Source organism: Homo sapiens, chromosome 9 (genome assembly GCF_000001405.40).
Source record: "Homo sapiens chromosome 9, GRCh38.p14 Primary Assembly".
Lineage (NCBI taxonomy): Eukaryota > Metazoa > Chordata > Mammalia > Primates > Hominidae > Homo > Homo sapiens.
This window is the reverse complement of record NC_000009.12, coordinates 14,993,238-15,019,974: the sequence shown is the minus strand read 5'-3', so window position 1 is coordinate 15,019,974 and position 26,737 is coordinate 14,993,238. Positions and strand designations below refer to the sequence as shown.

Here is a 26,737-nt window from a genome sequence, read left to right as displayed (position 1 = left end):
AATCCTTAAAGCTATAGCTATTAACTCAAGACTCAGAAGAAATATTCTTAGTTGCCCATATGATAAATATCGAAACAGGACTCTGTAAGGATGGTCTAGTTAGCCACAGGAATTAGACAGTGGCTTCCTGTGACATATCAGAGGGTGACTTTAGTTGTCTTCCAAAATGTGATTAGGGTTACCATTTAGATGATTTGACTGCCAATTGCTTGCACATTAAAGAAGGAAAACCAGGCAGAAGAACCTTATAAACATTTTTAGTAAATGTTTATTTTTTTGTATTCCTTAAAAACAAAACAAAAATTACAAGTTTAATACTAGTCCTTTGAAATATTATACACCAAACAAACCACCTTACTCATGCAGCAAATTGGTCTATGTTCTCTTTTCTTCTGTTTGCCAGATGATCCTTCATAATTTCTGCAAACAGATTCCTCTTCAACAGATTATATGCAAGAGGTAAAAGCTGGCCAGCAACTTTATGAAAATACTGAAAAATAAAAATATAACATTAAGCAGATAACATAGCAGATATCCTAATAAGTAGCAAAAAATATATAAACAAAGCACTTGTTTAACAAAGGCTACTTCCAAAATCATTTTAGCTATACCCTCAAGTGATTAGGGAACACAATTTAGGGACAGGCACCTGGCATTCAAAGAGGCAATCTTGTTGCTCTAAAAGACTAAAGGCATTCCTTGAAAATAAAGAAAATCAAGTTAAATTTGAGTTTCCTTATTCCCCTAAGTTTAATCAACTTTTTCTCACCCCAAACTATGCCCATAATGCTTTTTATTCTCTCCAGTGTATTCCCAGTCAAAAGTTTTATTTTCCTTCATTGATTAGGTAAGAATAGCTAAGCCGAAAGTGGGTTTTCAGGCCATATTCCCTTTATCCTCAAATTCCTTCTCTCCCCCATCCCCAACAGGTACTGCCTCCCAATCCCTGTTAAGAGTCACTGCCTTAGGTTTATCAAAAGATTTTAGATTACTGCTGTTATCTACATATACCACCTTTTTGTTGATCATAATAAACATTTAGCCCTTAACATGTGGTTAAGTACTGTGCTAAACCTTTTTATAACTCTTACATGTTATTTCATTCTCACAACAATCAAGTTTGCTACTCACTGGTTCACATCTTATGGCTCTACTTATTTATGGCTAGGGCCTCTCTAGCAGGTCAAGCACTACTCGGATTGGTTAATGACTGTCATTGTGGCTGTTAAACATTTTGAATATTTTTACTGATAACTATCTATGAGGTGGGCAAAGAAAAGTAGTATAATATTGTTTATAGCAGGGTTCTCAAAATGTACACCCCTGAGCAGGAGCATCAACTTCACTTGTTGGAAATGCAAATTCTCAGGACCCACCCTGTAACTCAGTCAAACTTGGGGAGGGTGGGGAGAGCGCCAGTGTATGTTTGGACAAGCCCTCCTGATGACTCTGATCATGATAAAGCTGGAGAGCTACTGGTTTAGTCTTGCTCCTCCCAGTGTCGTCTGTAGAGCAGCAGCATTACCGTCACCTGGGAGCATGACAGGTATGCAGTCTCAGATCGCATTCCGGACCTACCGATAGAGTGCACTTTAACAATGTCTGCAGGTGAGTCACATGCATTTTACAGTTTGGGAATTACTGCACTGATTTAGGCACTGACTCTGGAACCAGACTACTTGTGTGAACCTAGGCAAGATGATTTGCCTCTCTGTGACTTGGTTACAGAGTAGGTTAAATGAGAATTAAATGATCTGTGGATGGGTATACACTTGTACAGGTAAAGAAACAGAAACAAAGGTGTTGGAAAGCTTGCCCAATCCTACACACTAGAGAAGATGTGATTTACAACCAGTTTAGCCCCATAAGCATGTCATGCCGGCTACACCTTATAGTCTCTTTGACCTTCAGCCAGCTATGGTTGAGTAAGCACTGGTTTAGCTATTAAGTAAAATTTTCTTATTTAATGAGCAATTAGTTAATGGTAAAACAGCATCTCTTATAAAGGTTAAATAATTTAAAGTATATTTTTCATCTAAGAATTCAAGCACAATAACAAATACCCCCACCACAGTCGAAATGAAATGGAGCCTAAGGTGTATGCACACACCCCCATACTTAGCCCCAAATGTATACACACAGCAAGAAGGCATATCCCTATAATGTGTCTAATACATAAATTCACTTTAATATAAGCCTGAATGCAAATAATCTTGGCTATTCACCTTTGCTAGAATGTAAGATGAATTTCACAGGTTTTTAGGACATCTGCTTTTAAAAAAAATCACTTCAAAAAGTTCATTTTGAAATACAAGCTGAATCCCTATCTTACCTCTGCTGGAATTTGGGGGTATAAATGTGCATGTATTCATGTGTGTATGTGTCAGGGGGAGAGGAGGGAGGTGTGGTGGGGGGTGGCAAGTGGAGGTTTTTTTTTTTTTACTCACATGTGAGCCATAGCAAAAGAGGTCCATTCCCAACTCAAGCCCCATACCATAATCACATTCATCATTAGCAAACTGCACAAAAGTCATCATTTCCTGAATGGGAGCAAAAGCTTTTCGTCTCTCATCATCACTTGCAGCCTCAACTATTGTCTTGCAAATTCTCTTGAGGTCAGCTGAAAGAAATCAATAATATAGAAGATTATCTACACAGTTAGAAAATGAATCAGTCTTCAGAGGTAAAGAAACTACAAAGAGGGTTTTTCCTCCTAAGACTTTTTGTACTAGTACAACTTGTGCCACCTCGGGTAGTAATCTGCAGCACTGTAATTTAGAATGGCAATTTGGTAATTTTTCTACATAGGATTCAAGCTTAAAAATGGCTTAAAGATTTCTTAGCGACTATTTCACAGGATTTAGTCTTTTTTAAAAATTTTTAAATTTTATTTATTTATTTATTTATTTTTTTGAGATGGAGTCTCGCTGTCTCCAGGCTGGAGTGCAGAGGCGCAATCTTGGCTCACTGCAACCTCTGCCTCCCGGGTTCAAGGGATTTTCCTGCTTCAGCCTCCCAAGCAGCTGGGATTACAGGTGCGTACCACCATTTTCAGGGGATTTTTGTATTTTTAGTAGAGACAGGGTTTCACCATGTTGGCCAGGATGGCCTTGATCTCTTGACCTCATGATCCACCCTCCTCGGCCTCCCAAAGTGCTGGGATTACAGGCATGAGCCACCGCGCCCGGCTACAGTCATGATTTTTTTTGAAAGTCTATTCCATGGTGGCAATCATGATTTTACATAAGCTTTAAAGATTCAGCAGACAGGTCCAGGAATTGGCAAACTTGGGCCAAACCTGGCTCACCCCATTTTTAACTACCCTCAAACTAAATATTTTTTCATTTTTAAATGGTTGAAAAATAAAACAAGAATGTGATAGATTATGTAGCCCACAAAGTGTAAAACATTTACTATCTGGCCCTACATAGAAAGTTTGCCAGCCTGGTCCATGCACTATATAGTTGCCTCTGAATCTGAGAGTTCTACATCCTTAGATTAAACCAACTGCAGATTGAAATACTCAGGAAAAAAATTAAAAAATACAGATTTAAAAAAATACAGTATAACAACTATTTACACAGTGTCTATGTTATATTAGGTATTCTAAGTAATCTAGAAATGATTTGAAATATACAGGAGGATGTGCATAAGTTATGCAAATACTACACCAACTTACATAAGGGACTCGAGCATCAGATTCTGGGTATCCTTCAAGGTCCTGATACTAAGAGACAGCTGGGTTAAAAAAAGATCCAAGTAGGCAAAATTTGTTCTTTTTGCCCTGTCCTACCTTATTTGTTAGAAAATTACTGACTTGTGGTGAATTAAAACAGAAAAAGACAACAATGTAAGAGACAAGGAATCACTGCAGAATTAAACCTTTAAAACCTTCACCAAAGTGGGAGAAGAGTAGCCATGGCAAGCATGCGTTTGAGGTAAGAATAGAGAGACAATGTCTAATATTTGCCTGAAGAATATATTTTTAAAAGTTAAATTTCAATTTTGGCTTTTAAGATTTTTTTCATTCTTTCTGGATGTTAATGTGCATCAGATTTCAGGATGCAAATGAGATGGAAGTGTCAACAATGTCTAATTAGACTTCCTTTTGACAAATTACATGTCCTTTTTGACAAACTGTACTTCTTTGAGAATAATAATGAAAAGAATGGATATTATTCAAACAAACCAACAAAACACTTCCAAACAGCTGGCTGCTATACTGGGGGAGAGGAAGACTGGTTAAAACATTAACAATTATACTCAAGAATGATACGTGATTTTAAATTATATGTATGAGGTACAATGTTCTGATGATACTAACAAAAAATATAAGGTATAATAATACCAAGGATGGGCTGTGTGCAGTGGCTTATGCCAGTAATCCTAACATGGGAGGATTTGGGAGGCTGAGGTGGGAGGATCGCTTGAACCCAGGAATTTGAGACCAGCCTGGGCAACGTGGCGAGACCCTGTCTCTAGAAAAAATAGAGAAATTAGCTGGACATGGTGGTGGGCACCTGTGGTCTCAGCTACTTGGGAGGCTGAGTGCTGGAGGTCCAGGCTGCAGTGAGCCGTGATCATGCCTTTGCACTCCAGCCTGGGTGACAGAGTAAGATCCTGTCTCAAAAAAAAAAAAATGATTACCAAGGATGGTATTATAAAAATATACTATATACTAGGGCTTTTAACCCCAGTCTATGAATATCATTTGATTCAATCTTGATGACAGTACAGAATACATGCTGTTACCCGAGTCACAAAATGTGTTTTCTTCCCTTTCCCACTTTTGGTAGATCAGTATCATGTTGAACGAATGGCAAACTTCACCACCTATGTTTCTAACTATCTCTAAACAGTAGTGACGTTTTTTATTGGTTTGAAACCTTTTAAAAATTAAATTGTTTTACATAAGCTTCATGACCTTCCTTTCTTCAGAAAAGTCAGTGCTGATCATTTCAAGGAAACAGATGAGGCTTTCTCCAAAAAGCTCCTTAAGGATGGAAAATAAGTGGTTCCTCCCTGCACCCATGGGTGTAACTGATTGATTGGGACCCTTAGAATCTCTCTCACAGTGCCCCAGGCAGCCACTACAAATCAGGGTGGGTATGGAAGTGAAGACCTATTTGTCTTCTGTTAGCAAATAATTTAAAGTTTATCACTTTCCAGTATCACAGTTTCCATTTTTACACATGCCAAGTCACATGTGGACTAAAAAGAATAAGCAACTTATGTGAATTACTAAGCTAGAAAAACACTGAAGAACAGAGATGAAAATATTCAGCTCACCATCAGTACAAGGAAAAATATGTTCTTCCAGCCATAAAATATTCTATAGAAATTTCAATTAACCGAAGCCCAAACTTAAAGAACGTAAGTGAAGCCTTAAATTAACTATTCAAAAATGAAGCCTTAAATGTTTCTACTCGAGATACTCAATTAATGAGTTAGGAGTTTCACTGCTGAATTCTTACTATATCCCTGCCACTACTATCAACTAGAATACTTAAATTAAGCTACAGTGGTTGTGTCAAGGTAAAAATCAGGCAACTAGGCAGGCAACTCTTCTTACTTCAGATAGTAGTATGCACTCTACAGTCAGAAAACCAAGTATGAAAACCAGTGCCCTCAGCCGGGCATGGTGGCTCACGCCTGTAATCCCAGCACTTTGGGAAGCCAAGATAGGTGGATCACTTGAGGTCAGGAGTTCGAGACCAGTCTGATCAAGATGGTGAAACCCTGTCTCTTCTAAAAATACAAAAATTAGCTGGGCATGGTGTGGGAGGCTGTAATCCCAGCTTCTCAGGAGGCTGAGGCAGGAGAATCACGTGAACCCAGGAGGCGGAGGTTGCAGTGAGCTGAGACCCTGCCATTGCACTCCAGCCTACAAGAGTGAGACTCCATCTCAAAAAAAAAAAGAAAACCAGCCCCTTACTGACTAATGCTGAGCATGCTGGGTCTATTTCCTTTGTGAACATGGGAATAAGACCTACTTTAAAGAGTTGGGTGAGAATTAAATATGTGTACATCACTTGTTATAGTGAATCATGACACTGACATTTAAGAATTGCTCAATAAAAGGTATCTTATTTGCTAAGTTACAGTGTTATTGTAAGAAGCTTCAAAGGGTTAAGAACAAACTTAGTTGTGATTTACTAATCACTGTCACATTAACAAACTGCCAGTCAATTGTACCTCCTGGGAAACGACACTAGTCAAGAACAAGATTAGGTCCTTCATTCTTACATTTTGCTACTGCTTCAAAACTAAATACAGAAGGATCTAATTCCTAGAATATTAGACTTGGACATAAAACCCCAGAAACACAACTACAGTAGGGTAACAGGCTTTACTCCAGGGCACTACAATTTAACATCCATCACCCCAAAAGTTTTAGAGACTGCCCATCTCTACAACAAATGTGCCCAACCTTTCCCAAATGACACAATAATCATGCTTTTTAAAGTTCTCTCTGTGAGCAGAGACATGAAAAGAAGATGACTTAGAGTAGAAGCAGAAGACTGACCAGTAGCTAGAGCCCACACTGGTCCCATCAGAGACTAATTGCCTCTGGCTTCAAAGAGGAGATATAGGACAGATCAGCCTGTCCAAGTGTAATATAATACAGGCTACATTTTTTCCAGTATCCACATGAAAAAAGAAACAGCTGGGGCAGGGAGGAGGAGCTAAAAAAAAAAAAAAACAGGTGAAATTAAGGTATTGTATTTAACCCATATTCCCAAAATAGTATTATGTCAACATATAATCAATACAAGAAACATTTAATCCTGTTTTAATTTACATACTTAAACTAATTAAAATTATACAAAATTACACGCCAGGTACAGTGGCTCACGCCTGTAATCCCAACACTTTGGGAAGCTGAGGTGGGTGGATCACTTGAGCCCAGGAGTTTGAGACCAGCATGGGCAACAGAGTGAGACCTTGTCTCTACATGGAAAACAAAACAAAAAACACCAATTAGCTAGGCATTGTGGTACAGACCTGTAGTCCCACCTACTCAGGAGGCCGAGACGGGATAATTGCGCCACTGCACTCTATCCTGGGTGACAGAGTGAGACCCTGTCTCTCTCATACACACACACACAGAGTACAAAATAAATAAATAATACAAGTTACAAATTCTGTTCCTTAGTTGCAGCAGCCACATGTGAGGTACTCAGTGGCCATCACACTGGACAGCTTAGCCACATTCATCTTCCCTATGGCACTGCTCTAAGTGGCAGGGGTACAGCAAAAACAAGTCCATATGAATAGCTGCCATCTAAGACATCTCTCTCTACTGGCTGGAGACTCTGCACAGTAAAATTTGAGAAGAACTGCATTAGAGAACTGGTTTAAATGCAGGTGTCCAGGTCACAACCCCAGAGACTGGTAACTACCAATGCTAGTTAGTTCTGTTCTGAAAAATAGGTGGCCAAACACGTGTGTTGGGCAGGAATACGTGGTTCCTTGAGAAGTTGCTAAGTTTGATTTCCCTTTAAGTTTTATCCCCCCAGAACAGGATGATCAATAAAGGAATACCAACAGGGCTGTTCACAATAAGGGAATGGAGATGAGGGGAAAAGAGTTGAGAAGCGATTTTAATTCCCGATGTTCAAGATGGCAATAACTAGATTATGTGCAGTGGTCCATTTTGAAAGCGTTTTTATACTTATTTATGAAGTAGTTCAGGATCTTGGGCTTCTGAAGGCTAAATCATTTTACATGCAGATGAAAAAATGTTCACAAAGAACCATAAAAACACTATTTCAAAAATTACTGTTTTGCAAGCTGACTGTAATGTCAAAGGTTTGGAAGTAGTTCCAAAAAAGTAGGCAATAGGTTAAAATTCTTTAAATTCTTAAAAATAACTACCAAATTTTGAGCACTGAGGCAAGCATTTTGCTAAGTATCTTAATACTTGTTTATACCCCAAATTCCCCTATGAAGTGATTATCATTAACTTCATTTTACAGATGAAAAAGACAAGGTTTCGTGGGGTTAAATAATTTGTTCAAGGCCACACAGCTATGAACTCAGTTTTAATTCAGGAATGACTGACCCTAAAACCAAAGCTTACTCTTTATTACCAAGGTCTAGCGACTGTCTCACAAAAGTTATATGGAAATACCTACTTCCCAATATAAGCAAAACTTTCCTACATATGCATTAACATATATGCATGTGTTTACATATGAAATATATTACCATCTGTTTCAGGGAGCTCTCTGTATCCAACAACATTTTTATCTACTGGAGGAACCAGGCCTGTACCGTGAAAGGTCTTTGTCACAACCTATGTTATGTTAAAGAAAAGAATAAAATGTAATCATGGTAAATAGACATTAAAAAAAAAACCCAAATACATAAACCCTCAACATTTCTGCCAAAATGTAACATTCAATGACATTTTATTTCAGTAAATTTGGACTCTAGGGTAAAAATTTAACACTACTTTTTTCTCAAAAACTAGCTAAAAGTCAAACACTTGAAGTAATCACAGAACAGTTAAATAATTGGCTTTTCTTAATTGTGCCAGTCACTTGGAAGTCTGCATCCTGATTTGTTAAGGAAGAACCCAATACATCCTAGAAGGCAAGCCAAAATATCAGTTTCCTCTAAGGTCAAAGTACCTTCTTGGTAGAAAGCACAGAAGAACCTGGGTCTAAAAGAAAGACGGTAAGAAACAGTTTTTGTCAGCAAGAGGATATGGTAGGACAGAACTCCTCTCCTCCATCCTGCCAAATTCAGACCCCCCTATTTTTATCTGGAATATTTAGGCTTGTTGGAAAACTTCCCAAAAGTAGGGCAGTTTCTAGGTTTGTGGTGTCTTTTACGGAGGCAAATCACATAACCAGTGAGCTTTTATCAAGTGTTAGTCTTCAAAGACAAAAACAGGCCCAACTACAACTACCACCATAACCCTTCCAGTTTCCATTCTTCCTTTAATTCATGTTAGTGGCACTATTTTTAGGTCTTTCCTTAACAAAACATCTGTACAAATATTCCACTTCTTTGTGCAATTCAGTGAAAAGTTTCCAAGGCAGAGGAAGCACATAACCCAAAAAGCAAACTCCAATTTTAAAGGCTTCTCACCTAAGTCTCTATATCTTAAAGTCTTTTTCTCTTGAATCTCCCTATTCTCCCAGTCTCTTGCTTCTTTCATCACCCTTTATTAAGCTGCCAGAAAGGGCAGATTATTCAAAGAAAGTTATTACACAACTGCTTACCACTTGGGAAAAAAGGAAGTCATTGTCTTCTATTGTAATCTTTATATCAAGATAATTTGCAGCTGGATTTCAGAATTAAATGTAAAAATAAAACCATAAAACTGCTAGAAGGTAAATTAAAAAATAATTTTGTGATGGAGAAGAAAAAGTTGACTGTATAAAAATAAACTAGTGAAATCAAGAACACAGGACAAACTGATAAAATACATCTGCAAAATATAACAGTAAATAAAAATTAATGTCTTTATAAAGAAGCCTAACAAAGGAAAACACTAACATCCAAGTTAGAACACATGTAAGAACAAGACTAATTCTAACCCTGATAGAAAAATGGGCAGAGTTCAGGCAGTCAAAAAAAAATACCATGGCAACAAAAGTAAAAAATATTTAACATCCTTTATAATTAAAGAAATGCTAATTAAAACAATGCAGAATTTTATACCTACCAGCATGGAAAAAACCAAAAGGACTAAAGAAAACTCCACAAAATTAGAAACAAGCAAAGAAAAACCACACACAGGCGCGCGCGCACACACACACACACACACACACAATACTTTGGACCTGGTAATACTATGTCTAGGAATTTCTTCTAAAAAAAGAACCAGGTAAGTATGCGAATAAAGGTATAAAAGGATATCTATGGCAGGGTTGTCTGTATTTGCGAAAAATCTTAAGCGACCCAAACTTTGAACATAAGCACAGTATTCTGCAGCCACTCAAAATTATGAGGTAGATCTTAAATTGGCAATATGAAATGATAAACATAACATATTCATAAGTGTAAAAGGTGAGACATAAAGCAGTGATAAAGAAAAAGACAGCAGTGCTATAGTTGCCATCTCAGGCTGAACAACATACAGTAGGAACCATGGTAGATGTATGTTCAGATTTTTTACAGATGATTACCTTACTAATTGTCCATAAAGAGGTATCAATTAAGAAGTCATCAGAATCGTAATTTGATTATGAAGAATAAGATTACAAACTTAGGAAAACTGTATAGGAGTGGGTGACATCCTGAAGCATCAGACTACAGGTGGATGGAGTGACACACCATCATTTTATGCATATTTAACCAATGTTCCTTATGAAGAACATTGGTATGGAAAAGGTGAAGTGGCAGAGAGCCAATTAATAAGAAGATGGGGTGGAAAGAATGCTAAATATGGAAAGTATGAAGTTGGGTTTTGCATGTGTCATTTAAGATTTTGGGCAAGACACACAAACCTCTATAACCCTCAATTTACTTATCTATAAAATAGGATGATAATCCCAACTTTGCAGATTTGTTGTAGGGAGTCAAATGATATAAGGACTCTGCATTCCAAAGTATATTAAGTTACTGTCAGTATAAAAACACTGATTTCTAGTGTGCTGTACAGTACTCTATCATACTAGAGAGGATATATTCTTACACGCAAGGACAAAGCCACTAACTCACATATACTAGTGGAACTTATTTCTTCAGTAGAAAAATATGAATTAAATGAAGATCTCACAAAAACAATAGAAGAACAACCTTACAATAACAGAAAAGGGTTTGAAAGTATAATCATCAACGGGGGTGGATTAAAAACATGATTGTCTTGTAAGTTCTTTTTTGTCTTTGTTTTTACCAGCTGTTTCTGTATAAAGAACAAATACTAAAATGAAACTTCATGGGGGAGGGGTCTAGGACAAAAATATCTATGAAATTTAAACCTGAATCATATCTTATTTATGGGGAAGAATTAAGAAAATCTCCTCTGAAATAAATTATAGCTTGTGGTAGAAAAATATGACTGATAAAATAATTTGCTAACAGCTATTATGTATATTGATGCTCAGACTTCAGTCAAAACAAATTAGGAATACATTAACTAGTCTACAAATGCTACCCTTCCTCCTAGTCACAAGGTGGGAGACGCTTCCTATGATAACCAGAAAGGTAAATGGCAGTATAAAATCTTAACTTTTAAAATGCCATGTTGTAATGAGTTTCATTAAAATGTACGTTTTAAGAAACTTTCCAGGCTATAGGACTAAAGAAAGAGTGCCTGGAACTTATCAGAATATCACCTTTGCAGCTGAATCAAGATCAGAGAAGGAACTGAAGTAGGATTTAATGCCTAAGTACACTAAGGTACTTCATTACCAGTGCTAGTTTATTAAGGAATAACAACTTCTCCATTTAGCTTAGAATATTCAGATGAACCAGCAAGGGCAGACAAACAGTGAGAGGCTGGAAGAGACTGGGGAGCCCTCATTCCAGTGACAAGTGTTTTTTTTTCCCCCAGAGGCCATAAGAACAAACTCCTATAGAATTCTCATTTACTCCAAAGCAGAAATCTTCCAGCTTGTCATTAACTTACTCTGAAATCTATAGCAGAAAACCAAAAGAATCCAACACTAAGAAGTATTTGCTCCTTTACAAAATACTCCCCTCACACTGCAGACATTAGGAGAGATGCAAAAGGAAATGATGAGATGAATAAGGAAAAAGGAAGAAGCACTGTTTATATACACGTTTACTGAAGAAAACGTACCTATGTAAATTTCATTATGTACAAAGCAGCTTTCACTTAACTTTATGAAGTGATTAACTGATAAAACAAGATTAAAAGAGTGGCAAATACTGGCATGAGTTATTCAACCACAGCAGTGATATCACCAGTTATACAATTCAACCAGTGTACCAACCCAAAGGAGCCATCAGACCCCCATTTCAGTGCCATCCTCCTAGCACCCCTAAGGGACAGCATCCAGCTCCTAAGATAGGGCTAGAGAAAAGAAGGGCAGGGTAGAGATGGGAAGGAATCAAGAGGGGAAAAAAATCTGCTAAATAGCAAAACAGAGGCCAACAGATTAGAGTCATACTTTCTTATCTCTCTGTTTCATCTTCATGGTTCTCTGTTCCAGTGAGTACCCCAGTTCTCTGGCTGTTTCTGTGAGTTTTTCATCTACGTTTTTGAAGAGATTGGTTTTCTTTTTATCTGTTACTTCTTTAAGTTTTTTCATCAAATATAATCTTAAAAAGAAGTAAAAGTCCTCATTATGTTGCAGGCCACTATACTAAGTACAAAGACGTTTGGAAGTTGAGCCAAGTTAAAAATGTCAAATTTCATGCAAGAATAAGTCCACAGAATACTTACCAACACTTTTCTCAAAATCCCTAATAGTTTTCTTCAAATAAGAGAAAAGCAATATTAATAAAAACTGCCAGTAACAGAGAAAATATTATTCAAATTTATATTAGCACTCTAATGTCTATAATAGAGATATAAGAAATAGTTACAAAGCTGAGATTAGTCAAGTTTTAAGTTGTATTACTTGATACTAAGATATGGCATACTACTTTGGAGAAGTCTGACCTAACAGAAAAAAAGTAGACATCAAAAAAAAACTCCAGCACTTTGGGAGGCTGAGGTGGGCGGATCACTCAAGGTCAGGAGTTTGAGACCAATCTGGGCAACATGGTGAAACGCTGTCTCCACTAAAAATACAAAAATTAGCCAGGTGTGGTGGCATGCACCTGTATTCACAGCTACTCGGGAGGCTGAGGCATGAGAATCACTTGAATCTGGGAGGCGGAGGTTGCAGTGAGCCGAGATTGTGTCACTGCACTCCAGCCTAAGACTCTGTCTCAAAAAAAAAAAAAAAAGCAAAATTCCATCTCAAAAAAAAATTCTTTTTTGCTCTTATTGCCCAGGCTGGAGTGCAATGGCAGGGTCTCAGCTCACTGCAACCTCTGTCTCCCAGGTTCAAGCAATTCTCCTGCCTCAGCCTCCCGAGTAGCTGGAATTACAGGCACCTGCCACCATGCCCAGCTAATTTTTGTATTTTTAGTAGAGATAGGGTTTCACTATGTTGGCCAGGTTGGTCTCGAACTCCTGACCTCAGGTGATCTGCCCACCTTGCCCTCCCAAAGTGCTGGGATTACAGGCATGAGCCACTGCGCCCAGCCTTTTTTTTTTTTTTTTTTCATTTTTAAAGAGAGGACACTGTTACAATAAGGTCAATAGATTTTTTTTTTTAATGTTGAAATTTGTGTTAAGAAAAATTTAGAAAACGTAAAAGGAAAGAAAAGCTACATTATAAGCTTATACAAAAGCATAATCCAAAGTAGTTTTCAAAAGCATGTAAATATACAGCATGTTAATGCCACTTATGGAAATAATTTTATATTTTATCGTAAACAGGTTAAGATTTTTGCCATCAATGTAAAAGGTCAGGAGTAAAGAGTGGGAAGGAGTGCCAGACTCCCAGGAAGAAAGTTGCAGGGAGTAACAACTCCTAGGAAGAAATTCACTTCTATTCACTGCCAGCATCTGAGAGTTTGTAGTATTCCCTACAACACTGTTATCAAAGGGCTTAGAAAATTTATAGTAGATAATAGTCTTAGCTTCATTTTACTTATCAGGAAAACAAAAAAGGCACAGAAGATAATCAACCTACCCAAGTTCAGAGAGCCAGTGGATTAAACCAGTAGAGTTACCAGTACAGCTGGTAGATTAAAGTGCCACCCACTATTCACAATAGCAAAGACTTGGAACCAACCCAAAGGTCCATCAATGACAGACTGGATTAAGAAACTATGACACATATACACCATGGAATACTATGCAGCTGTAAAAAAGGATGAGTTCATGTCCTTTGCAGGGACATGGATGAAGCTGGAAACCATCATTCTGAGCAAACTATCACAAGGACAGAAAACCAAACACTGCATGTTCTCACTCATAGGTGGGAATTGAACAATGAGATCACTTGGACACAGGGCGGAGAACATCACACACCAGGGCTTGTCAGGGGGTGGGGGGTTCGGGGAGGGATAGCATTAGGGGAAATACCTAATGTAAATGATGAGTTGATGGGTGCAGCAAACCATCATGGCACATGTATACCTATGTATCAAACCTGCATGTTGTGCACATGTACCTTAGAACTTAAAGTATAATAAAAAAAAATAAAGTGCCACAGAAACCCAAGCCACCAAAATCTAACTTCTGATTACAGCACACAGTTATACTAAATCTTACTTTCAATTATTACCAGCTGTATGTCTAGAGGATATGTTTATATCAACCATAAAATGCAAATTTGATGTCAGTCCTATATGAATCAATCCTCAACACTCTGGCATGGCATATAGCTATTCAAGTATGCTATGCTGTGTATTTCCACACTTTCACACACGTACTGCTCCCTTACCTAAAACATCCTTCTTTCGTTTCTTTCTAGTAAGTTCTTAGGCATCCATCAAAGCCCACATAAAATATCCTCTTTTACCTCCGCCACTACTGAAGGCACTTGGTAGCTGCCTTCCCATACATATGATATTATTATGAACTATCTCTGTAAGTTTTTGTCTGTGCCTAAACCTACTCTAACACTCTGCTGTGTGATGCTTAAAGATAAGGTGCAATGTGCAACTGAAGCCATAACCATGAACATGAACATTTTGGGCTGTTACTTTAAATCCATTAGAATGCCTTGAATGCAAAAGAATTTGTACCCATGCATGTTATATGGCATCATGCAATGGCCCTTTGGAAACAGTGGTTCACTAAATTATATAGATGTAAATGTTGAAGCTTATATATCAAATTCACTCCATTACATAACATTAGAAAAAAAAGCTATCAAGCTTACAGTGGTATTACAAGTTTCTCAATCTATTTTTTTTGTTCGAAACCTTGAATTTTATCACTGGCAAAAAATAGTTGTTTTCTTTGGTTCATTTGAAAAAATTTCTGCCAGTATCTAGACCCAAATAACCAGACTTTGTCAGTGAGTCAGTCTTTCTAAAAGTGGGAAAAAGTTCATCTCAAAACTCAATCATACAAGTGCTTTTTTTTCCCTTGAGACAAACCACAGTACTTCAGTATGAGAAATGCTTTCTATGTATTTCCTATTTCACCACAGAATGTTAAAGAGATATACTCAATGGTAGACAGCTAACACATGTATACTCCATCACTGACGTGTTTTTCCAGGGACAGGGTCTTGCTATGATGCTTAGGATAAACTTGAACTCCTGGGCTCAAGCAACGCTCCCACCTCAACATCCTGGCTCCATCACAAACATTCTTAAATACTTTTGCATGTACTGCTGTGAATAATGCAATGACTGTTGCTACTCTTGTGGCACTATCTTGATTCCTGCCAAGATGACAACATTATTATCCACCATTACCTTTGTGCCGTTGGTGCAAAAATAATTTATTATCACAAATAGTTTTGACCCTAAAAGTCCCTGACCCAAGGTCAAAACTATTTGCCCTAGTTATTTTAGGAAAAAAAATAAGGCAGAAGGAAAAAAAATCATTCCCAACTTTTTTGTTCAAAGATATTTAAAAATTGAATGCGTTTATTTCCATATGCATTACACAGTATGAAATGGAATCATTCTACACTATTGTTATTTGCCCACTTCATAACAAATTCAACAAATCAATACCAAGGTATTATGGTATATGGATAGTTTATATTTACCTAATCTCCTCTATTGCTGGATATGTTGCCAATTTTTCATTTGATAAACAATCTGTAATAAACACACATATTTCTGTACCTGTCCAAAATCCCTTTGATGAATATCTGGAAGTGGAATTGTTAACTTAAGGGTATAAATGTGTACTTCACATGGTACCTGGCAATATCATCTGTCAAGAAATCTTAGAACACGGTGCTTTAAACATTTTTCAAACTGCTTTCTACAAAGGTTTTACCAATTAACACATCAGTAAGGGTTCTTATATCCTAATCATCGTTGGTTATTACCATTCTTTAACCTTTAAAAATCTTTGCTGGCTTAATTTTCATTTCTTTAGTTACTATTAAATCTTGCAGAGACAATTCTTTCTCTGGGCATAAAAATTTGTTGATCAAAGGTCTGCCTTGAAAGACCTTACTCTGTCTGCCATAAAAATGAATTTTAAAATATATAAAGAAATTAAGTGTTCTGATTAGCTGATTTAAGAAGGTGGCACTCAAAAAACTGAAACCGTTATACTTTAAAACTACTAAAATAGTTATATCTCAAATAATTTTTTTACCCCTGTGTTTGAGACAAATTATTGAAGGTAGTTCCTCAAGTAGTCACTTGCTGATCTTCACCTAAATTATAAATATTATCAATCATGTATTTTTTTTTCTTTTTCATTGTCTGTGTTCTCCAATTAGCTAAAAAAAAAGGATACCAGAGGAGTCTATGGTTATGTTAGATGACCGCTATTATATTACCTTTTTAAAAAAGATTTCTATTAAGACAAACATAGCTAATAATACAAATGAAAAGTTAGGTTTGTTTTTTTAAAAAAGACAGTCTCACTATGTTGTCCAGCCTGAAAAAATTAGGTGTTTTTACGTGCCAAGGTATTGTAGAATTAATATTTATGGAGCATTTACTGTGGGGCAGATACTGTGCACAAAACAAAGCCTCTGCCCTCATGGAACTTAGATGCTAGTGCAAGAGACAGAAAATAAGCAACAGTTTCTAATAAAGATAGCACCAATTTAAATTGAATAATAAATCCAAAGAGTTTAAAAGAACTTACAAATTACAAATACCAAGCAAGGTTTTATAGGAAACTGAGAGGTATTAGAAAAGAAAGAACATTTTTGGACATCTACAATGTAGCTTCCCTGTAGATACACCAGTAGTATGTACGTAGCACAGTCTAGTGGTTGTACTAGGTTGATTTAGTTTGAATTTGCTTTACTGCAAATTTGTATTATCAAATCACAGGGAACAAAAGCCCTTTAAAGAGACAGTACTAAAAACGGTCAAACGAAACATAATCTACTTGTATTTGAAGTGGTAAAGTTTGCTTTCTTCATTACAATGCAAACTACACAGCCGCTGACAAATGAAATCATTTCAAGTCACGTCTGTGGCTGATATAGCATAGACCGGCTCACTCAGCTCTATTCCAACCCCTTACCCATGAAAGTTTGCTGCATTTCCCATACTACTCTTTAGCCCAGGCTCCACATGGGATCTAGCTTCTTCCAAGCAGCTGCAATAGTTTGAAATCTCAGAGGCAGAAGAGATACCGGGTGGAGGCTGTGCTTCCACGATCTCCATCAGTGAGCACTGCTGTAGAGGCATCTGATAGTTCTGCAGCAGCTGTAGCTGAGATCCCAGCACCTGGTTCTTAGCATTACAGGGGCTGAGAGGCAAAGGGTAGGGCATCCATTTACCTGGCACAGGTTATACCAAAGGTAATATGGTCCTAGACCCACCCATTGTGGCAGCAGTTCTTGATTTCCCAGCTTCCTGATGGTGGCAGAGATAAAATCCACTGTGAGCCACACAACTGTCATTCCTGGAAGCTCAGCCTGCCCCCTCAGCCATTCCAAGGATTTTATGAGCATCTCTTTTTACTTTATTAAACCTTTCTGTTTGAACTATACACAAGTAATGAACTCTTAACAAGTGTTTAAAATCAGATGTCTAAAAAAACTTTTGATTTTGCCATGGAACATCTGAGGTCGAGTATTATTAAGAAAAATAGTTATATAAGAGGTGTAGTTTCTAGTGAAGAGTGACAAAATAACAGTATAGATAAGACTACCTGCAAAAGTCATGGAAATTGTCTTTAGAAATCTACAGTTATGGACTTGCCTCAAACCCGCTTTGTTTTGTTTTTTTGGAGATGGAGTCTCACTCTGTCGCTCACGCTGGAGTGCAGTCGCGCAATCTCGGCTCACTGCAACCTCCGCCTCCTGCGTTCAAGCGATTCTCCTGCCTCAGCCTCCTGAGTAACTGGGATTACAGGCGTGTGCCACCAAGCCCCTGGCTAATTTTTTATTTCTAGTAGAGATGGCGTTTCCCCATATTGGCCAGGCTGGTCTCAAACTCCAGATCACAGCAATCCGCCCACCTTGGCCTCCCAAATTGCTGGAATTACAGGTGTGAGCCACTGTGCCCAGCCCCTCAAAGCCCCTTTATAATGGACTAATATAGTATAAACATTGTAAACCTACATAAACGTAAGAGAAATTGAGATAAAATATTCTTACTTGACTGCAGCAAATACATTATCTCCATTTGGAACAATTATACAATTTTTCTTTGCTTCATTTATACCAACATATACAGGAAGTTCATCAGGAGAATCCCTGTTTGAGAAAAAGACATTAAAAATTTAGCTGCCCATAATTTATATTATCAGGCAAGTGGGATTTTAGGTCTACAGACAACAACTTACACCTTTTTTTTCCCCTCTTTTTTAAGGCCTCTTTTATAAGGGAATTTTTTTAAATTGAAACAAATTTATCGTTTTAAGCTCCAAGTTTCTTAGGAACATCTATGATAAATCTTAACTTATATAATGGAACCTAAAACTAAGATTCTTAGGACCTAATTGCTTTTATACTCAAATACAAAAAAAGGAAAAACAAGAAAAAGGATTGTAAAACATTAGAGATGAAAGGATCCTATTCCCGTATATAACCAATCCTTTTATTTTAAAATTGAGGAAACAAATACTGAGAGGTTAAATTACTCAGCCAAGGTCCTAGTAAGTTAGGACCTTGGCTACAGCACAATCAATTCCTAGCCCCATGTGCATTCTACTGTACTACAGTACTTCTTCCTGGGCACGTTCCTTCTATTACCTTACATTTAATCTTCACTTTAAAGGATAGCATCTCTACTGGTACAAGCGGACAAGGTATTTTCCTCCTGGAGTTTCTCTATTTCCTAACCTACTAAGTATCTTGCATGCATTCATTTAATTCTCATAATATTCCTATCAGGTATGTACAATTATTATTCCTATTGTTACAAGACTGAGTCACAGAAAGTCACAGTCACTAATGACACAGGGTCACACAGACAATAAACAGGAGGACAAGTGTGACTCCAGAGATCACTCTTAGCTCCCAGTTGCCACTCTGGCACCTGGAAGCACATAGCTTATTAAGTACAAGTCACAACAGCTGCTCTGAATTAGCTTTATTGGGCCAAAAGAGTTATTCTGAACCCAAAAGGGAAAAAAAATTTTATAAGGAAAGGAAAAACCAGTGAGATTAAACCTAAAGAGTTTACCCATCCTAGGGAAGGTTAAAATGGTAACAGCAAGAACAACAGATGGCTCATATATCCAGGGGAAAATATGCCTTTCACCTTGGGTGAGGCTAGTGAATAACTATTTATCCTCATTCGCAGGACAGCAGCTGTATTTTAGAGGCAAAGAAAAGATCCTTTACCTGAAATACCCCATGTGGCACTGAGTTTATCTCTAATAATAATGGTCTGGAACTCAGGAGGATCATAGTAAAACCTCCAATGAAGGTTAAAATTCGGGACTGTTGATTTTTTCTTCATTTTATGTTTTCCAGCAAGGATATTATAAGGATCAACTAATTGAAGTCCAAGGCTTGCAGAAAGTGGATCTCTAAAGAAAATAAATTTAGACAATACTTTCCGGAGACAGACAGGAAATAATGCTTTTAGTGAGTAAACTATTTCTAAGCAATTGTCTTAAAAACTTTCTAAAGTAAAAGAAAGTCTTGAGTTATGTGTGAAGATGTCAGTTACAAACATTCAATGGAAAAGAAGTCAGAGTAACAGAAAACAGGATTTCCTCTGAAATTTACCACTGTATTAACTTAACATCTCAAACATTCCTGTTGTTTCTTATTTTAGCCAAAGCAAGACTGGTTTGTATTCCTGTAGGCCCATTACCACACTGCAATTAGCCTCAAATACTTGTAGTACACACAGGTTAAGGGAAAGAAAGATAGCAAAAATATGTGGATTAAGAGTACTAAAAAACAAGCCATGCGTGGTGGCACATACCTGTAATCCCAGCACTTTGGGAGGCTGAGGCAGGCTGATCACCTGAGGTCAGGAGTTTGAGACCAGCCTGGCCAACAGGGCAAAACCCCATCTCTACTAAAAATACAAAAATTAGCCAGGTGTGGTGGCTCACGCCTGTAATCCCAGCTACTTGGGAGGCTGAGGTACGAGAATCATTTGAACCCAGGAGGCAGAGGTTGCAGTGAAATGAGATCACGCCATCGCACTCCAGCCTGGGTGACAGGGTGAGACTTTGTCTCCAAAAAAAAAAAAAAAAAAAAGAGTAAAAAACATTTATATCCCCTTTCCTCTACCTCAGCTAATCACACCAGATTCCCCTCACTCTTTGACAATCTATTTGGCCAACCCTAACCCTAGATGATTCCATCTTCCTTCTCTATTCACAGATCACAGTCAGTGTTACTAAACCACAAAGACATGAAGTCTGTGCAATGTACAATGTATAACTTCAAATGGGTCCTTGCTGCTTCCAAGAGGGAGGGGAGCACTCCAGGCAGGACCCAGTTTTATAAGGAGGCAAGGATGAGGAAAGCAAAAAAATTCCTGTAAGAGGTAATAACATGAATAGAAGCATGGAGATAATTGGACAGGAAAAATAGTTCAGCACAACTGGAGCTTAGGAGAGCATACACTAATTTTTTAAAGCAACAAGAAAACTAAAACCATCCATCTCATTAGCCAAAGATAACACAGTTAATACTCTAATATACAGTAACAAATTTCCATACTCTCCACCCCCATGAACAGATACAAATATGTAACAAACTCAGATGGATTGTTTTGTAATCTGCTTTTGTCCTCCATCCTGACGCACTTAAATTTTTTGATTATTTTCCATGCTATTCAATGTTATTTTACATGATTTTTTAATAGGGCATGATACTGCATTATAAAGAGGTAACCATCTATTCTCTTACTGATGGACATTTACTATTTCTTTTTTCTGTTCTAAAAATGTTTCAGTGAACATCTTTGCTAATGTTTGTACAGACATGACTATTTTTAAAGAAACTGCTATACAGTTCTGTTCTGATCTATTGGCAAAATTCAGAATATGCATCAATATACATTTCCATCAGTAGTGTATGACAGTGCTTACTAGTTAAAAATTTTAAACAGTACAAGAGGTATATAGTGCAAAGTAATGATCACAGCCCATTAACAGTTTCTTTCTCCTTTCAGAGACAAAGTAAGCACATAGAAAAGTATACAGGGATATGTGTGTACTCCCCACTCCCCTTTTTTAAAAAAATACCAATGGTAGCATAATCTATACACTTTTCTTTTTCAGTTAACATATTTCAGGCATGATAGTTTATTATTTCCTAAAAATCTGCCTCATTCTTTTAAAACAATTAAGATCTACTGAAGAGATGTGTCATTGGTAGGCATTTAAGCCATTTCCCATTTTTTTTGTTTAAATATCCTCAAACATAATTCTTAGTTTATCTAATCCATAAGACAAGTTCTTTTTTCTTTTTTTTTTTTCTTGACTGGTATTTTTTTTTTTTTTAATTATACTTTAAGTTCTAGGGTACATGTGCACGACGTGCAGGTTCGTTACATATGTATACATGTGCCATGTTGGTGTGCTGCACCCAGTAACTCATCATTTAACATTAGGTATATCTCCAAATGCTATCCCTTCCCCCTCCCCACACCCCACACCAGGCCCCGGTGTGTGATGTTCCCCTTCCTGTGTCAAGACAAGTTCTTGGAAGCAGAACTGTTAAATCATATTCAAACTCCTACAACATATGAAAGTGCTTACCTTCCTTCACATTCCCCCAGAACGTGATGAAATTATTTAACTTTGCCAATAAAATAGGTGACAGTGGCATTACTATAGCATTAATCTATATTTCTTACTATATTTTCTCTTACTAGAAACATCATGGAAAATATTCCTTTTCTATTAACTGTTTATATTCTTGGTTAGTTTTTTTTTTTAAATTATTTTATATATATACATTTTTTTTTGAGACAAGGTCTCACTCTGTTGCCCAGGCTGGAGTGCAGTGGTGTGATCTCGGCTCACTGCAGCCTTCACCTCCCAGGTTCAAGTGATGATTGTGCCTCATCTTCCCGAGTAGCTGGAACTACAGGGATGCACCACCACACCCAGCTAAGTTTTGTATCTTTAGTAGACAGGGTTTCACCGTGTTGCCCAGGCTGGTCTCGAACTCCCAACTTCAAGTGATCTGCCTGCCTTGGCCTCCCAAAGTGTTGGGATTACGGGCGTGGGCCACCATGCCTGGCCAATTATATTTTTAGAGACAGGGTCTTGTTCTGTCACTGAGGCTGGAGTGATGATAGCTCACTGCAACCTCGAACTACTGGGCTCAATGAAGGATCCTCCCATCTCAGTCTCCCAAGTAGCTAGGACTATAGGCACCTGTAGCCATGCCTAGCTTTTTTATTTTATTATTTTTATTTTTTTGTAGAGAAGAGGTCTTGCTATGTTGACCAGGTTGGTCTCAAACTCCTGGTCTCAGGCGATCCTCCTCCCTCAGCTGGGATTACAGAGTGTGAGCCGCCACACACAGCCCATTTCCTATTACATTACTTTTTCCATTTATACAAGAATGATTCTGGAGCAACTCACCAGCTGGTTTTTCAGAATCAAGTTCTTCACAGAACTTCCAGAAGTGATAGAAATCTTCAGGTAAAGAGAGCGTATAATGATTTTCTACTTCTTTTCGAAGGTCACTGGAGACATCAGCTTCACAGAATTTACTTTTCTTCACATCAACTGTTTTTTCACACTGAAAATTGACACACAAAACTTCAGTTCTCCAAATCGTTTTTAGTAATTTCAGTAACTCTCCTTGCATAACAGTATCACTCACTCTTGTTCACCCAACTCTATGAGATAGTATATGTGTTTTCTTTAAAACTCTCTAAATGGTAATTGAGTAAAATCTGGGAATTTGGGCACAGAAAAAAAGAGTAGTTTATATGGTGGTTAAGAGGAATCCATACAGCAAGTCTTTAAATATATTTTTCTAAGATAATGGAAACCACAAAAAACAAAAAGGTAAAAATGAAATAGTAAAGAGCAGGAAGAGAGGAATAAAGAAAGGGCAGGTTTTGCCCTCTTTTGGTTAAAGGTCCACGTGGGTCTTTTAAACAGATTCGTTGATCACATCAGAAACAAATAGAAGTAACTGGATATAAGCAATTCATCAGTTAAAAAGCTGTTTCTTCAGCAACATCCAGAGTGGTGTCTGAGCTATTCACTACAATCATTACCCATCCTTAAAAACAGATACCTCCCTTTTGATTTTCCAAATAAAGAGGGAAGGTTAGTGACAATGTTAAACATCCACAATTCCTAACAAAGTTAGCAGAATAGCACTAAACTCTAGGCCAAAAATCCAATTATTTCAGAAAAGGCCAGGATTAGGTTACAATAATCATCTCTAGCACCACCGCAATATAGGTTCAGTGTGCTAGGTTTTATAATGCCTATTAGGTATTTGATAAATTTCTGTAAAGATAATATGCTTAATTGGAGGTTACATACATTTAGTTTTCTAAGATGCAATCTGTTTTTCTTTCCAGGAACCTAGATTCTTTCTTTTTGTATTAAGTTCTTTCTTTTTTACTCTTCCTACCTAGAGCAGTGGTTCTCAACTGGTGGTGATTTTCGCCCCCAACCCACGACCCCTGCCCGGGGACATCTGGAGACCTAGTTAGTTGTCACGAATTGGAAGAAGGGTGCTAGTGGCATCTAGTGGGGCAGAGGCCAGGGATGCTCAACATCTTACAATGCCCAGGATAAGCATCCTCAACAAAGACTACTGGCCCCAAATGTCAACAGTGCTAAAGTTGAGAAATTCTGAGCTAGACGTTTCTCGTATTTATATTCTTCAATTTTCCCAGTAGGCTGAAGTTTATTAATTTTATGTTAGGTATCATTCAATATCTACAAAACGTATTTATGAATCAGATGACATAAGAATAATCATGATGGCAATGATTTAAAGAGCAAACAAAACAGAACAAATGCCTATTGGTAGAATGGTTATAAGGCTTCCAAACAATAGACTATTACACTTAATATTACAGTTGACCCTTGAGCAACAAGGGTTTGAATTTTGTGGACCCACTTATACATGAATTTTTTTTCCAACCAAATGCAGACTGGAAAATAACAGTATTCTTAGGATGTGAAATCCACTTAGAGAGAGGGCCAACTTTTTGTATACTCGGGTTCCACAGGACCAACTTTGGAACTTGGGTATGCTCGGGTTTTGGGATATGTGAGAGTCCTGGAACCAATCTCCTTCATTTACCAAATGGTTACTGTATGGCTACACAATATGGACCTATCTATATTAAATATTTTTAATGAGGAAAAAAGTTCTTGATTATATGCAGCATGATAGCCTTTTTATGAATTTCAAAAACTAAAAATAAATATTATTTAGGTATACATTCATAGGAGATGAGCCTATTTTTAAAAGGCAAGGGAAAACAAAATTCAGGATAGCTACATTGAACATGAGTGACAGAAAGAAGGCTGAAGGGAGAGGAGAGGGACATGTGTAGATGTAGAACTACTGTTTCAGTTTTAGGGTTGGGCAATGGGTTCACAGGTGTTTGTTATATTACTTAACATAAATAAGCTCAAAAACAATCATGAATTGAACAATGGTAACAGTTTATTGTGCCAAGGATTATAATGCATCTGATTTAAAAAAGAATGACGCTGAACAAAAAGGCTGTTGAAAAATGAATCCAAAAGTGAGTATCAATAGCAAATAGTAATAGTAAAGATAATATAATAGTAAAAACAAGTAGTAAGTCATACTTATTGAGAACTTATCTTGTGCTATTTCACTGTTCTAAGCACCTTCTGTGAATTAACTCATTTAATCCTCAACTATCTCATGCACTAGATACTATTAACCTCATCTTACAGCTGCTGAGGTTAACCTCCCTATGTCCCTAACTAGGAAGTGGAAGAGAAGGGATTTAAACTCAGGTTTAAGTCTGGCTCCACAGCAGATTCTCAACCACTTCCTGTTGCTTCTCCAACTGTAAATATAGAACAGTAGGAACATATGAAGTCCCGAGCTATCCTATCTTCTGTTTTTATAACTGTCTTTGGTCAGACTTTCAAAGACTGGCTCCAACTGAAGATGTTAGAAAAGGCTTAATCTGCCTTGCTGAAAGGCAGTTTTGCTTAATGGTTAGGTTGCCTGGGTTGACTCCTGACCCTACTGATTTCCAGCTGATTTCCAACCTTAGGCAAGTTACTTAACCTCTCTGTGCCTTGTTTTCTCATCTGCAAAAAGGGCATACAGTACCTCTATCATAGGGTTGTTACAAGGAATAAGTTATTATATGTAAAAATACACAGAACAGTCCTAGCACATAATATGCAAATGCCGGCCATTATGGTTATAGCCTCTATAGACTCGCCTTCATTTCTGCTATTGTATTTCTAGTTAAGCACCTCACGCCACCAAAGCAGTTCTTCACTGAACCTTCAAAGAGAATTTTTTCAGCTCTGCCTTAACTCACATACTAGTTCAGCATCTCCATATCCCTAACAACTAGAATTTAGGACAGCTGTCCCCTTCAGAGGCTGCATTTCTCCTTTACCCTGGTATTCCTAGAATGCATGACCCAATATGAAGAATGCCTATACAACTGGCCCTTTACTAGTTAATTAAGCCCTCCAAGAATGTCTCACACCCTATCCGATTTATAACACTGCCAGACTAAGTTTTCTAAAACTTTAGTTATCACAATGGCACTTCCTTCCTGTCTGATTCCCCTTATTGCTACTGTAGTGGTTACAGAACTTCCGAAATCGTAGTAAAATATGAGATAATGCACATACTTTTCCCCCCTCCCCTCTCATAGTGCTTTTATGATCAGGTCCCTCTTACTTTCCCATTTCTCTGGCTCCAGCCAAGCCGAACGCTCCACTATGCCCAAACATCTCCTACACTTTTACGTCTCAGACTCTTCTCTGCCTTCAAAACCCATTTTCAAAGAGTTGTCTTAAAAGTCTTCTTTAACACCCCCTGGGACTTGTTAAATCCTCCTTCAGTGTTTCCATAGCACTTTCTACACACCAGCATTATAATCCCAAACAAAAAAGTCACAGTAGAATGCATATTCGCTTGTGCCCCTCCTCCCCAGGCCGGAGGCTCTACATGGAGAAGGGGCAGGCGGGTTGACCCCAAATCCGCAGGGCCCCGCACAATGTCTGGTATGTAATCGGTTCCCAATCTATCTGGGTGGGCGAATGAATGAAACGTTGGTTGGCTTAATCCGTTTCCCCAGGAAATGCGCCAAGAGGAGCTGGGCAGAAAATGCAGAGGCGCTACTTTCCTGGTCCAATCCCCTACAGAGCGCGAAACAGCGACCTGGGCAGGGTCCCCGCAGCAAACCGCAGACCCCGGACACACAGCAAGCTTAATAGTCACTGCATGAATGAAACGCGCTGCCTCCTGGTACCCTGGCTGTCATCCAAAGCCACCTGCGTAGCCCCCACAGCCTTTCTGGCAGTATCTGCGGCCCCGCCCCCGCGCCGGGCCTGCGCTTCCAGCCACCGCCCACCATTCTGCAGCTGCAGCGCCAGCCGAATTCCCGGATCCGCGGCCGCTTCCGAGAGCAGCCAACTGCTTCCGGGTTCAAAAGCCTCCAATGCGAATCCCAGCGCCGCTCGGGC

General features: G+C 38.0%; 1 pseudogene across 1 annotated transcript; it reads right to left on the bottom strand.

Moving 5' to 3' along the window:
- Window positions 1-250: 250 nt before the first annotated feature.
- On the bottom strand, window positions 251-26,648 carry LOC389705 (histone PARylation factor 1 pseudogene; annotated as a pseudogene). The gene is made up of 5 exons (NR_003920.1): window positions 26,398-26,648; window positions 22,652-22,811; window positions 18,243-18,341; window positions 2,448-2,620; window positions 251-490 (listed from the first exon to the last, which is right to left on the bottom strand). The product of NR_003920.1 is annotated as a histone PARylation factor 1 pseudogene (transcript).
- Between the last annotated feature and the right edge of the window lie 89 nt (window positions 26,649-26,737).